The sequence below is a fragment of the Homo sapiens genome, chromosome 4 (assembly GCF_000001405.40).
Source record: "Homo sapiens chromosome 4, GRCh38.p14 Primary Assembly".
Lineage (NCBI taxonomy): Eukaryota > Metazoa > Chordata > Mammalia > Primates > Hominidae > Homo > Homo sapiens.
The window spans coordinates 145,334,073-145,348,702 of NC_000004.12; the positions used below are offsets into that span (position 1 = coordinate 145,334,073).

The window sequence follows — 14,630 nt, forward strand, 5'->3', positions numbered from 1 at the left end:
GAGGAAGGCAGCAACCTGTCAGAGGACTGCTAAGAGTTAGAGAGACCTGAAGAGAAAGACTTCCAAACCGGCCGAACCAGATCTGAGTGTCTGTTGGACAATGATCTCAATTTTTAAAGAACAGACCATTAGGCACAATCAGAAACTGACTTAGATTTCTATTTATCTTACACTAAAAAAAGGCAAAAACAAAAACAAACCAAGCTTAAGCAAATAAAATGGAGTATTTACAGCAGGCTGTGCTCTGCAGGAGAATCAAGAAAGTCTAGGCCACCTAACTCCGCTGCAAAGCATTCCTAGAAACACATGTAAAAATAGATCTTCATACAGCAGACTGTACCTTCTTGTAGGAATGAGATTGTAATTTGGGGTTGGCTTCCTGATCCAGGGTATGACCAACAATACATTATAAGGCAAAACTTCACATATGAATTTCTACAATTTTTAAAATTATAAAAGTGTGCTTCAAGTCCCTATAAAATGCACTTTACATACTGATTATATAAAAGCGAACAGGGCATGGTGGCTCATGCCTATAACCCCAGCACTTTGGGAGGCTGAGGCGGAAGGATCACTTGAGGCCAGGAGTTTAAGACCACCCTGAGCAATACTGTAAGACCCCATCTCTATAAAAAAAATCTAAAAGGTTAAGATAGGCATGGTGTTGTGCACCTGTAGTCCCAGCTACTCAAGAGGCTGAGTTGGGAGGACTATTTGAGCCCATGAGTTCAAGGTTACAGTGAACAATGATCATGCTACTGTCCTTCAGCCTGAGCAACGGAGAGAGGCCCCCATCTCAAAAAATGATAATAGGCCAGGTGGAGTGGCTCATGCTTATAATCCCAGCACTTTGGGAGGCTGAGGCGGGCAGATCACAAGGTCAGGAGTTCGAGACCAGACTGGCCAACATGGTGAAACCCTGTCTCTACTAAAAATACAAAAATTATCCGGGCCTGGTGGCGCGTGCCTGTAATCCCAGCTACTGGAGAGGCTGAAGCAGGAGAATAGCTTGAACTCAGAAGGCGGGGGTTGCAGTGAGCAGAGACCACGCCACTGTACTCCAGCCTAGGCGACAGAGCAAGACTCCGTCTCAAAAAATAATAATAATGATAAATAAACAAAACAATAATAAAAATGTTAAAAGCCAAATAAGCTCTAAACTGTCAACAGAGTACATAAAAATATAGATCTGTGATTTCAACTTTGTTTTATTTTACAAAATGTGCTGCTACAACATAGATAACACAACTGCCTGTATTTATTAAGCACTTACTAAGTGTCCCCACAAACTAAGAGCTTTATCTGCATCATCTTATTTGATCTTCTCAATGAATCTATGGGGAAACTGAGGCTTAAAATGGCAACATCACTCATCCAAGTACAATTATTTAAATAAGTGACTGAATTGCAATTTAAACCCAAGGCATCTAATTCTAGAGCTAGTGAAACAAAGCTCTGAATTAGGGTGAAACAAAGTGAATTTCAAGCATGTCATAAATCTATGGAGTTTGAGAGCCTAAAGAGGCATCAGATAACATTTAGCTCAGTTCCTTTATGTTATAGATAATGATCATAATTTCAAGAGAAGTGAAATTACTTATAAGTGTTTCTTAGTGACAAAGCCAAGGCCAGAATTCTATTGATTTCCAAATTAATTTTTTTTCCACTTTATCCAGTTGACTCAAGACAGTCTCTTCTCACTTTAGTCCAGCAATTTTAAGATGTGTACAATTTCCATATACAGAATGACTATTCAAGTTCCCTGAAGGAATACTGCAGTCCCAATTGGTTACCTAATTAATCTATTACTTCAAAACTTTGTGGTTTAAAACAACGAACATTTACTGTCTCAGAGTTTTTGTGGGCAGGAATTCAGGATGGGCCTTGCTGGGTTGTCCTAGCTCAGGGTTGCTCATTCACTTTCAGTCAGGCTCTTCATGGGTCAGGACTGCAGGCAGCTGACTGGGCTTCCTCACTTGCCTGTTGGCAGGAAGCCTTAGCTCTCGCCACGTGGGCCTTTCCATTGGCTGTTTGAGTGGCATGGCACCTGGGGGCAGAGGGGACATTGTTCAACTTTTTGAAGTGGGAGGAATATCAGAGAATTTGTGGGCAGATTTTAAAACCACATCTACCTAGCAGACATTTTCTTCTTTTTCTTTTTTTTTTTTCCTCCGAGTCTTAGTTTGGTTTGGTGGTCCTCCTCACTCCTGTGTAACCTGGAGGTAAATTTTAATTAGTCTGAAACAATCATGGCAATCCTGTAAGGGACATAGGATTCAATCTCAGCAAGAATATATCAAGAGATGTCTGCTGGAGGCTTTATGAGAATGGGTTTTGTACACCAAAAGTAAAATCCTAAGCCCCCCAGCCAACTGGTGGACCCCCTTCTCAGCCAAGGGCATTCCAGAGAAATCTGAAAAACTAATTCAGCTCATGGTGGGAAGGGGGGTCATTAAAACAGAGGCCTTAAGACTGACAAAACAGACTCTTTGTAGCAAAAGATACCAACATGATAGCTAGCAGGCCCTGACATAAACTGAAGTATATTACCCCAAAATACATTTCTTTGACATATTTTGAAATGGCCCTGCAAAGCCATTTGCAGGGGGAAAATCTACATTCTGTAGAGAATCCCTTTCCCTTTCCAGGTCTTTTCCCTGATCCAGGAGAGATTTTACCAAGAGTCTGGCACATTTTTAAGTCTCATAAAAAACATTTATAATCTATTCTCTCTGAAGCCTGCTACCTGTAGTCTTCATCTGCATGACAAAAGCCTTGGCCCTCAAACCCTTATCCTAACCCAGACACTCCTTTCTGTTGATTCCAGGTCTTCAGATAATAGCTTAACTTTTTCAACCAATTGCCAGTCAGAAAATTTTTGAATCCACCTATGACCTGTAAGCATCCCCACTTCAAGTTGTCCCACCGTTCTGGACCCAGCCAATGTACGTCTTACATGTGTTGATTAATATCTTATGTCTCCCTAAAACATATAAAACCAAGCTTAAGCCCAATCACCTTGGGAACCTACTCTCAGAACCTCCTGGGTCTGTGTCACAGGTCATGGTCCTCACATTTGACTCAGAATAAATCTCTTCAAATATTTTAGAGTTTGGCTCTTTTCTTACTCTTAAAAAGAGGCACATAGGAGGAGATGGCATCTTCCATCTGGGATCTTTTTGTGTCTCGATGGGACATCTGGAACTGCTGCAGCCATCGTGCAACCATCAGGAGAGCCAATCTGAGGACAGAGGTAATGTGTTCAGGGGATGGCAGAGAGAAGACCTGGAGAGAACCTAGGTCTTCATGGTGGTGTCCAGTTACTCTCTTAACCAATCTTGGAGAATATTCCCAACCTCTGCCCTTTTTATTACATGAGATAATACATGGCCTTTATTGTTCAGGACATTTTAAGTTGTGCTTTCTGTTGCTTTCAGTTAAAAGCCATCTAATATCCTATGTAAGATTTAATTCCTGCTCCAAAATGTGGAGTTGCTGCTTTTCTTGGCCTAGTCCCAGGCCAGAGCTGTATAGCACTTAATAGTTCAGAATCTAGAGTGAATAACACAGACTCAAAAGGGCTTTCCAGAATACAAGGACAAAAAATTGGTTTTCCCCATTCAGCCATTACACCCTCACCCCGCCCCCCGCAACAGTTTCCAATTATTTTCCATTCATCTTTGGAAATTAAGTTTGGGGTAATGAGAAGGAAGGGAAGGGAGGATAAATGCTTGACCTACTGGCATTCCTCTGCTCACTCTGTACTTATCACCTAAACTGTCTTCTCTCTTGTCCCTTCTAACTAGCTAAGTCTAACTTCCTCTTCATGGTTTTTCAAGTCACTTCTTGTTCAATAAATTTGAGAGCAGTGCAGTTCCTTTCACATTGATCTGTAATTCCTCTGGAGTCATAGTAACACATTTGCTAATCACCTGGAGCCATCTCTCGGGTTATATATTCCACATTGCTTTTCTCTTGTTTATTTCTTGCCCTCCCTTGTACATTCTAAATTTCCCTGAGGTCAGAGACTCCATATGGTGCCTACCTGCATATGGTAGATGTTTATAACTAGGTCTTGATACACTGATTTAAAGGATAAGTGAAAATGTGGGGACAGAAAGAAGACAAGAAGAGGAAAATCTAGGAATGCATGTAATCTTGATTTGGCCTATCTTGGAATTTACAATGTCTGGATCTGGTTGCAGTGTGATGCAGATGCCTTAGGATTCTTAACACAATCGTGTTATTTTTCAGTCATAACTGCACATAGATATCAGAAAAGGAAGATGGGGGAAGCTGAACTGAGTCATGAATATAGATTTGCTGGGATTTCAGAGCTAGCCCCTGTTCTCCATTTTTCCACAGAATTTCCTAGGAGTATTTGCTAATACTCTTGGTCATGGCTTGTTTCACTTAAATGTGTTTTCAGCCTGGTCCCTCTAAGCAGTGGTTCTAACTGCTGCTCCTCAGGGTATAAAATAACAAGTAAAAGCAGTTGACACCACCGACCGTAATTTTTGCCAAGAAATTTTTAAGCAAGTTCCAAATGGACCTGATGAATGCTCATATATTAGAGTACTGGACAAGGAAATTTCCAGGGACAGTAGCCTCTGCTGGCACCTCTTCCAGCCCTAAAGAAGTGCCATTTACCCAACAGGCTTCTGCCAAATGCTTCACTGCTCCCTAGAGTAACATATATTTACCTTCAGGGTTGTAGCCAGAGCTGTAAACTGCATGTTTTCAGTCCCCTAGGAAGGGGAATGTCTCAATAGAAATACGTTCAGTGCATCTAGGGACCCCTTTCTAAAATTTTTTCTTTGTAATCCTTTGTGACCTTAAGTTGATTCTTTGAAGTTTTATCTCAGATATACAGGATGCAGGAAGATGCTTACAATTCAATCAGATGTCAGGATTCTGTTTCTTTATATGCAAAGAAAAAAACTGGATGAAAAATTATTTAATTAAAACATACGGTCACAGTTCTTTCTGGACAACTTCTGGTAGTGATGCATCTGCAAAAAAAAAAAAAAGAAGAAATCTCAAAGCAACCAGATTTCTTCTTTGTTCTCTCTCTCAGATTTTCCTCTTTTGTTTTTTCACATTTGTATTTTTTTCCAACACCTGTAAGAAGTACTTTCTCTGTCCCCTTGTCTTGTTTGTAGAATTATCAGCAGTATTGCTCCTGACTGATGACCTCAACAATAAACAAATGTTTGAACAAGGCACATGCCCCTTGTTTCAGCTTTTATATTTCACTCTGGCTCTTTATTTCCCTTTAGAACCATGATGGTCAGAGCATACACATTTTCTGATATTTCTTCAGAATATTATATCAGGACACTGCTTTCATTTCCTTTCTTCATAAACTCTCGATTTCTACCAAATGGCTTCTGTGGTGAAAGAGTCTTTGGGCCTCCCTGTTGCCCATACCCAACCTTTGAGCCTAACAGTAGTTCTGGCTGGAGGATGCCCTTTAGCTCACAGTTAAGAACAAGGGGGCATTTTACCCCACCGCTGGTCTAGTTAATTTACAAACAAACAACAGAGCAAATGGCCCAGCTGCTGCGTGGGCCTTTTCCTGTGTCCATGTCTCTGACCCCCAGAGGAGTGGGTTTCCCATCACTACTAATGTCAACTGGTGCCTGATCATGATCCTGACTGCCCCTCAACCTTTGTTTTGAGTGATATGAATGTAATCCCATATATAACCAGACTCTAAATCTGAATTCACAAAGAACTATAATTTTCAAAATGACAGTGGCTGCTTCTTAACTCTTAGCAGTAATTCTTAAATCTTAGTGTGTTTCATAATGCAAACTCCCTGTTCCTTACCTCAGATAATTGAAACAGATTGTATGGGAAAGTGATTCCCAGGAATCTGTATTTTCAATAAGCAGCCCTAGGTACTCATGATGAAGGGAATCTAACAGACTAGTCTGGAAACATTGTCTTAGAAAGTGTATTTTTCTGGTTCTAATGATTGATAGGGAAAAAATGCTTATTTTAATAATAGTTTATTTTATTGGAAGATTTCATTCATCCAACAAATTATGTGCCAGGTTTGCACATTGTACGAAAACACTGGGATTAGTAATACAGCATTTCTCCCATCAAAGAACCTCAAATAATCCACTAGTTTCTTTTAACCTAATGATCTAATATTTAAGAGCTCAGGCTCTAGAGCCAAGCAGACCCGACACTGCCAATTACTAGTTGTGCAACTTGAGCAAATTACTGAAACCTTCTGAGCCTGTTTCCACATTTGAAAATGGGGATAATAATACCTACCTCATAAGATTTGTTGTGAGGAGCAAATAAGATAAGGCACGTCAAGGGTTCAGCACTTCTGATAAATGCAAGAGGAAGATAAGAGGGAAGGTCGCCTGAGAATCTCCGACAAGCATGCGCACTGGGAGGATGGGGTGGAGCCACAGGAAGTTCTAGCCCATTGCAGCGGGGAGGAGCCTGGGCTCTCCTGTTCCTAGGTGGGAACCTGGGATTCAATCTGTGAGGCAGGAAATCTGCTAACAGGACTCTCTCTTGCTTTGTGGAGAATTATTTTTCCTTTTACTTTTTGCCCACTAATTTCCATTTTTCCTCACCCTTCAAAGTGTCTGCATGCCTAACTCTTCCTGGTCATGTGACAAGAACCTGGTTTTTGCTTTTTTCTACAACACTTCTTTCACTCAAGTGTCTGGAACATAATAAGTGGTCAGTAAATGTTAAATAAGGATGAGGATGGCTAATGATAATCATGATATGACAACAAAAATACTATTTATAAGAATTAATTAGCTTCTTAAGAGTCTTACAAAGATAAATCCGTTTTCCTTCTCATATGAGGAAATTTTGCATTATTTCTTCTGACAGATATGCTACACAGACTTCACACCCCCAACTCAAAAGAGTGACCACTTATAAAAAATACGTATTTTGGGGGAAATCTAAAATCTGCCCATAGGAAACAGTCACAGGAAGTTCTTATTCCTTGGCCTCAAGAACCTCTCATTTGCCAAAAACGAATAGAAGATCTATAGAACACAAACTAATTTAAAATAAAATTCATTATAACTTTAGTCCAATAGGTGAGGTAAACAAGAAAGATTACTTCCAAAACATTTCTAATTCATAAGCATTTACGGAATAACTTTCTATATACATGCTCAAAACCATTCCTAAATGTAAGATTTGTTTCTTATATACATGTACACAACAACTGAATTATTTAATAATAATTCTGGTAGTTTTTGAATAAGTTTCAAAGTCAGTGCTACAGACAGTGAGTATTCTGGGAGTAAACAGAAGGAAGGGACATGGTGGGCAAGGAAGGTTCTGGAAAATAGAGGGTAGATTTCAGCAAGGCATTGAAATATGGGTGATAAGACTGGAATAAGGAGAAGATCTGTGCATGGGAGTGAAGCACCCCCTACCAAAGCAAAAAAAAAGAGGAAGGAGAATGCACTAGAGCATACCACATACCAAGTGAGGGAATGGCATTTTGAGTGACAGAACCAGATTCTCACACATGCTTGTCAGTTGGAGCCAAGCACAAAGAGGGATGAGAAAGAACATTGACCCCACAAAGATGACTGCGTCTCAAAGGAGGTTTCTAATCTAAAACACAGAACCAGTTTTCCCCAATGTACAGGCTGCCTACTAGAAGTAAATTAATTAACTTTGGAAGTTATTGTTATCTACTTTGATTTAACTACCATTATGTCTATCTTATTTGATGGGGGACCCAGTGCATGCAAATTTAATTTTCAAAACACACTGTAGCTATAAACATATAACCCAATTTTGATATTATACATTTATGTCAGTTGCTTACATCCAATCGTACCTACATGTGTATATGTCAGATTAATTTTGAATACCATATTTGGCTATAATATTTTACTGTGTTTATTCAGACTTTACAATATCATAATTTCTCCTATCTTCTGAAAATATTAGAGACATCCAAGTCAGGTGTGACCAAATTACATTTGAAAAAATTATAATTTACAATTGAATATCTTAAAGTCTATTTGACCAATGTCATTGGAGAATAAAGTTGCTAATATAGAGTGATCCAAACATATGTCATCAAAATACTTTCTCTGTAAACCATGAAATCCTCATTTTGACATTAATTTTGTGATGTATAGTCAACAGTAATATGATGAAAGAATTTGGAATGGATTATTGTGTTGTTTAAAAACCTGTACGGAAAACAATGTAATGAATATTGAAGTATGAACAAACTGCTATAATGCTACTGCTGCTGCTGCTGAAAATTATGGTGATGCCTAAACTTATTAGCATTCACTACCTACCTGGCACTGTTCTAAGTGCCATACACACATATGCATATATATTTATACTTCTTTACTTTGTTAGTGAGTACAAACACTATATAGAGACAACTAGCTTCTAATTTTTTCCAAGATGATGAGTTTCTACATTAATCCTGCATAAATTAATATATAAATATAAGTATGAACATATGCTTATAAATGTCCTTACTGAATGTAGTTCTAATGCTTGTGAGGAGATGAACTGAATGGAAATTGAAGAGTAAGGATTATTATATAGTCACAAAAATGAAGAAAATAAAAATATTATGAGTATAAAATTACATTAGTTTTCAATTTTTTATTGTGTTTATATATAATTCTATTAAATATGTGATATTAAAATTCAAAGTGAATGGAACACTAACTGAATATCTCAGGCCTTTGTGTTATACTGTGCAATTTTTATTTGAAATGTTTACCTGAGTCTTAATTTTGTCATTTTTTTAAAATGGGAGAATTGCATTGCTAATATAAAGTGATCCAAACATAACTCATGAAAATGGTTTCACCCTCTCTGTAAACCATGAATTTGCTGTAGCTGTATCTAGATTTTACTAAAATTCCCAGATAGATCTAACTAACTTTAATTTACAGTTATGATCAAAAAAGCAGATGACTATGTTGCAAGAACAATCTCTGAAGATTGTGTATTAACATAGCTTAAAGAGTAATTAATAAATACAGTAAAAACTTAATCTCAACTCCTGGTTTCCTGTCTGGCATGTAAGGAGCTTGGGAGTTGTCACTTCCATTCTCACAAGAAAAATGCTGAACAAACTAAACATCAACAACTTTTCTTAGATCCATGGGAGAACAGAGATCACAGGACAAACTGCTGCCCCAGAATTGAAAGACAGACATTCAGGTACAGAGAATCTCAATTTATAGGAATAGAAACCCAGGGGCAGGAACCACCACAGGAATCAACCAGGGTAAGAAAACCAAACTATAATTGTCAACTTGCTAGAGGCTAAGTGTGGACAAACTTGAGGGATAAAAGCTGCAGGGGGAAGGGGACCATACCTTCATAAGTTTTACCTTTAGGAGCTCCACCAGGTTCTCATCGTGAGTGTAGGAAGAAAATCTCTTCATGCTTCTGACACAGGGAGGGAGAAAGTAGCCATTTTTAAATATGTCCAGAACATTCTGTTCTTTTTAACAAGGCCTGCCTTCAAGGCAAATTATTTTACCAGAGTCTAACCAATCTAGAGGAAGGGAAACACCTGAATTTAGCTTCTACTAGCCTCGGATTTCACTGGGAGAGGGAGGGCAACTGAGAAGCATATGTGAAGATGACAGCCCAGGGGCACAGGCTCTCTAAAAGACTGAGAACTAATCCTAGGACTATAGAAAACTTCTTTTCCACACCTTACCACTGCATCAACAGGGCTTCTGTATAACAACAGGGAATTACAGCTGTAATCTGAATATCTCAGGCCTTATTTAGAAGAAATCTCTAGGGAAATCCAAGAACAACAGAGGAAACAAAAATAAGGACACAAGAGGAAATTTTTGCCTCTGATCTACAACTCCAGGAAACAGTAAACACAGCCTAACGCTTAGCCAAATAAACATAAAACCTCACACTAAAGTCCTATTTACTTCACTTCCTTTTACCCAATATATCATGTCTGGCTTTCAATACAACTTAATTTCATGCATTTAAGGAGGGTCATCATTGTCATTCTGCTGTTTGGTCTTAGGCACAGAAGACCAAATATATTAAATGTATATATTATACACACATACTTATTCATTCATTTATTTATAATTGTGTTACCTTTATATGGTCAGAGGGTTAACATTTTCTTTCTTTCCTCATCTTATTAATTCACTAGCATCAAAGGCCACAGATTTACTGACACCAGGTGAAGATTTTTTCTTCATACACTAAAGTTGTCATCAATCTTCACTCCTAGCCTCTTACTTTATTATTCCCTCTTCACTGCCACCAACTTATCTCAGGTTTGAGGCAGTGTCTGAAGCAGGAGCTCCAGCTACTTTCTAGAAGAGCAGCCACAGGATGCTAGGCACCAAAGGCCTTTCAGATAGTGGTAACTGACCCATGAGATTGTGGACAATTTGCTGCCATAAGGCCTTCTTGACATTTCTCAGAGTGACACTTCGTGAAATTAAGGACAGGCAAGGGAGGCTCACCCTATTGACAAGAATAGGACTGTGACTGCCTTGCCTGATGACTCTTGATAGGAACAGTGGAAACTATTCTATTCAGTCAAATTATTAGATTTCATTTAAAAATGAATTCATTGTGCATTCCTGGAATGCTAAGACCATGTCACATGCCTCTGTGCATCCCACACAGCTAGTTAGTACTCAGTAAAAATCACTGAGGCTGGACTCAGTGGCTCACACCTGTAATCCCAGAACTTTGGGAGGCTGAAGTGGACAGAGTTCGTGAGTTCGAGAGCAGCTTGGCCAACATGGTGAAACCCTGTCTCTACTAAAAATACAAAAATTATCCAGGCATGGTGGCGCATGCCTGTAGTTCAAGTTACTCAGGAGGCTGAGGCAGGCGAATTGCTTGAGCCCAGGAGGCAGAGGTTTCAGAGAGCTAAGAATGCGCTACTGCACTCCAACTTGGGCAACAGAGTGAGACTCCATCTACAAATAAATAAATAAATAAATTAAAAAAAAAAAAAGAAAAAAAAAATCATTGAAAGGAGTCTTGGGTTCTGAGGCATGAAGTCATAAAGGAGATTTGAGAGGGTGGCCCAGGCACTGCCTGAGGTCTTTGGGTCCCTCTCAAGCAGTGTCTCTATTCCTTATCACTCTGTCATCACCTGGGCCTCTCTCTGTTCACCTGTGCCATTCCATGCTTCATGCTTTCCATGTGTCCATAACACTGTGAACACATCCAGGATACAATGCCTTCAACAATGGGGATCTCAGTGGACACTGAGAAATTTATAAAATGAACCACAGTTAAGACTGAAATTAATCATTACTGGATCAAAAATTAACTATAATGAAGTGTTTGAAGATGAGCAGCATCTGTCCACCACAAACAAGACTGGAGTCTAGAAACCAGAGTAAAGGCAGAAATTTGAGGTATATCACTCACCTCTAAGAATATCATCATGATTATGACTATATCAGCTCTGAGGACATTAGAATACCACTATATCAAAAGGTAGCCCAAGTCCTTAAAACCACACTCAAAAGCATTTCTGGATACCAGGAGCTGCTAATGTGGTTGGTGAAATCATGTCCCAGGCATGTACTTCCAGTAAATACATGAAAAATATCCCTGATTTTACCCTAAAAAGTGTTATTCTCACACCAATGTTATCAGAGCTTCAACTATATTTTAAGTAGAATCTTGAAATACATTGTAATAAAGAACCCTGAAAATAATGTTAACTTCAAAAATAATAACAAGCAGTGAGTATTTACTAAGCACCAGGAACTGTGTTATTCGATTTATAGGCATTCTCTCATTTATCAGTCACAACAATTTTATGAGAAATATACTAAAATTATTCCCAATTTACAGATGAGTAATCTGAGATGTAAGGAGGTTAATTACCTTGCTTGTAATCAGCTGAGAGCTAAAGCTTGAATTCAGCATTGTTAAACGCATCCTCTTAAATAGTGTGTGTTAGCTCAGGTCTTCCAAGAAATCGACTTCAAGAAGGTTTTAGCCGTGTAAAGTTTTTCTTTTCTTTTTTTCTTTTTTCTTTTTTTTTTTAGGGAAACCGTCTGTGCGAGAGCAAAAGAGCTAAAGAAGCATGAGCGCCATAGGGCACAAGGCCAGAGTGACCTGGCGAAGGCGCCGGGGCTGGCGGGGCTGGCGGGGCTGGCGGGGCGGCGGGGGAGCCCGGAGTCCCTGGGGGCAGGCGGTCGTCAGGGAGGGGTCTGTTGAGGCGGGCGGCGCGGGGCCCCAGGGAGACGCGTTGCCTTTGCTATTGGAGGGGCAAAATCTAACTTATCAGGAGGATTTTCATTTCTCAAGATAGAAACCTGAAAACCCACAGCCTGAGTTCCCGGAGCTGCTAACTCCCTCTCCTGCCACAGAGGCGTGGAAACGCCGTGGGGTCGGAGTAGCTTCCACTAGGAGCCCCGCGGTCCCCAGCGCCCAGGAGAGGAGGCCTGCGCGGCTTCTCCCCGCGCCCCAAAGAACGTTCTTCTGCAGATAGTCCCCTGGGTTCCCAGAAAGCCCTCACTTGAGAGAGGGGCTTCTCCTGGCCATCTTCCAGAAAGTTCTCCATGAGGCATTTCCTGCGCCCTGGAGCCCATGGAAACAGGCAGGCAGTTGCAGGAGGGCGTCCTCGCTGAACACGAGGCTGGGACACCAGCGGCTCTTCATCTTCCCTCTCTGATATTTTCTGTTGCCCCAGTCAAGCCAACCTTTGTTTTCCCACGAAATAAAGACAAATACGACAACCGTTTCCTTGATTTTGTTCAAGCCTCAGGAAAGGCGGGCTTTGTCCACCGTCCTGCACCCACTTAGACAGGGACTGGGCCAGGTGTGACGTGTTAATCTTCTGAGCTCTGGCTCCAGCTTAGGCTGTGTGCACACAATATGCATGCAAGGGCACTCAGTGGAGCCTTTGGAATATATAACATATATTCTTGTATATCAACACGCACACAGTAACATACATACATGTTCATTAAACTACCTGAACGAAAGGGTGAACCCTGCTTCTCCCTGGCGGGCCGAGCACCACAACGCAATGCATGCATCATTTATCAGCTTTTGACCTCTCTATGGTGTTCGCCTGATGACTTCGGGACATACCTTCTGCTCTCCCACCACCTCCCAATGCAAATTGGAGAATGAACAAATGGAAAATATATGGGACAACTCTCATTTGTGACTAACAGGAACAGAGTGACAGAAGAAGCTCAATGGAACAAGAGGCAGTTGGACTCTTGGACGCTGGGAACAAACTGCCCCAGCTTCTCATCTCAGCTAAGGGCAGCCACGCAGTGGGGAGTTAGCCAACTTGAAGAAATTGAGGTAGAATTCTGGACAAAACAGTAACCAAAGCTTAAAGCCTTCAAATGAAATGTATTTTTGCATTTAGTCTTATTTTTTAAAGGAAGAATTGCCTTGCCAGATTATATTGTTTTATATAAATTTGTTTGCTTGCTTAAGGACAGGTAATATTTTTACTATTGTCTTGAAAGTAGTGTTTAATTTTACTGCTTCTATAGAACTCAAAATGATTCACTCTTTCATGATCTATCACTGTCTCTTGCAAAGGGTAAGGATTGGCTTTTTAAAGAGCAGAGATTTCACAGTTAGTACTTCCATAAAGCAGTGTTTAAACTGCCAAAGATGGCATAAAAAATAAATTTTCGTCCTCCTCCAATGTCTCAAATTCATCAGGATTGTGTGCTGTGGGTGGAAGTGGAGGAGGAAGGGAAGGGCGGTGGTGAGGGAGAGTTGAAAGGCCAGGAGTTCTGAGGTTATAAATATACAGTACAATAACCCGAGGTCACAACCAATGCTGAGACAGCAGCAGCACTCCAGGTTGAGGGGCAGACCTCGGAATGCTTGGAGTTTCTGTTCACTCATGCTTTCTTCCCTCCCCGCCCTCAAATCTAGCCAGCAATGAAATCCTTCAAACCACTTACAGTTAGGAAAGCTCAAGACATTCCACAAGTTCCTGGTTTTGACATGGTTAAAAATAACAGAAAATAAAAAGGGATCTCACAGAATTTATAGTTCTAGAGCTGTGGAATAGAATCAAGAAATATAGAATGATGATGGTATTTAGCTCTTACACAGAGCTTTTCATGTTCAAAGGACACAATAAACAAAAACTAATTTTCACTGCAATGTTGTGAAGAAGTACACAAGTATTATGTTCGTTTTATGACTATAGGACCTGAGACCAGCCCACAGAGGCCCAAAAGAACCTTGGAAAGTGGCCTCCATGGGCTTTGTTGGTGTAGGTGGTTTAGTCTTTCCTCCAGTTTTTTTTATTTTTCTCTTGTCTCCTGCATATTGCTGTTAGTTTAACACTCCTTGGAATTCAGTTTTACAACACTGGCAGCTTCTAAAGATATATGTATATCTGCTTACCAGATGGAAGGCAGGCCTCTGTAACAGATATGAGACAGGCCTGGATTGGAATCCCAGCTCTGTTACCTCCTCTGTGTCCTTGGCTAAGACTCAGTTTTCTCATCAATTACACGGCGAGCCATTGCAACTTCCGTTTTCTCCTAGCCACTAAAACTAAGGACTTCCCTTCCATATTTCAGCCACCCCCCGAAGTTTTCCAGAACCCACTTTCTCCATTCTCCTTCTGTGGGCTCTGT

General features: G+C 40.2%; 1 long non-coding RNA gene across 1 annotated transcript; it reads right to left on the bottom strand.

Annotated features, from left to right (window-relative positions):
* Positions 1-1,190: 1,190 nt before the first annotated feature.
* LINC02266 (long intergenic non-protein coding RNA 2266) lies at positions 1,191-6,347 on the bottom strand. Its single transcript, NR_147156.1, has 4 exons — positions 6,289-6,347; positions 4,893-5,012; positions 3,129-3,241; positions 1,191-2,047 (listed from the first exon to the last, which is right to left on the bottom strand). It is a non-coding gene; the product is annotated as a long intergenic non-protein coding RNA 2266 (long non-coding RNA).
* Positions 6,348-14,630: the final 8,283 nt, after the last annotated feature.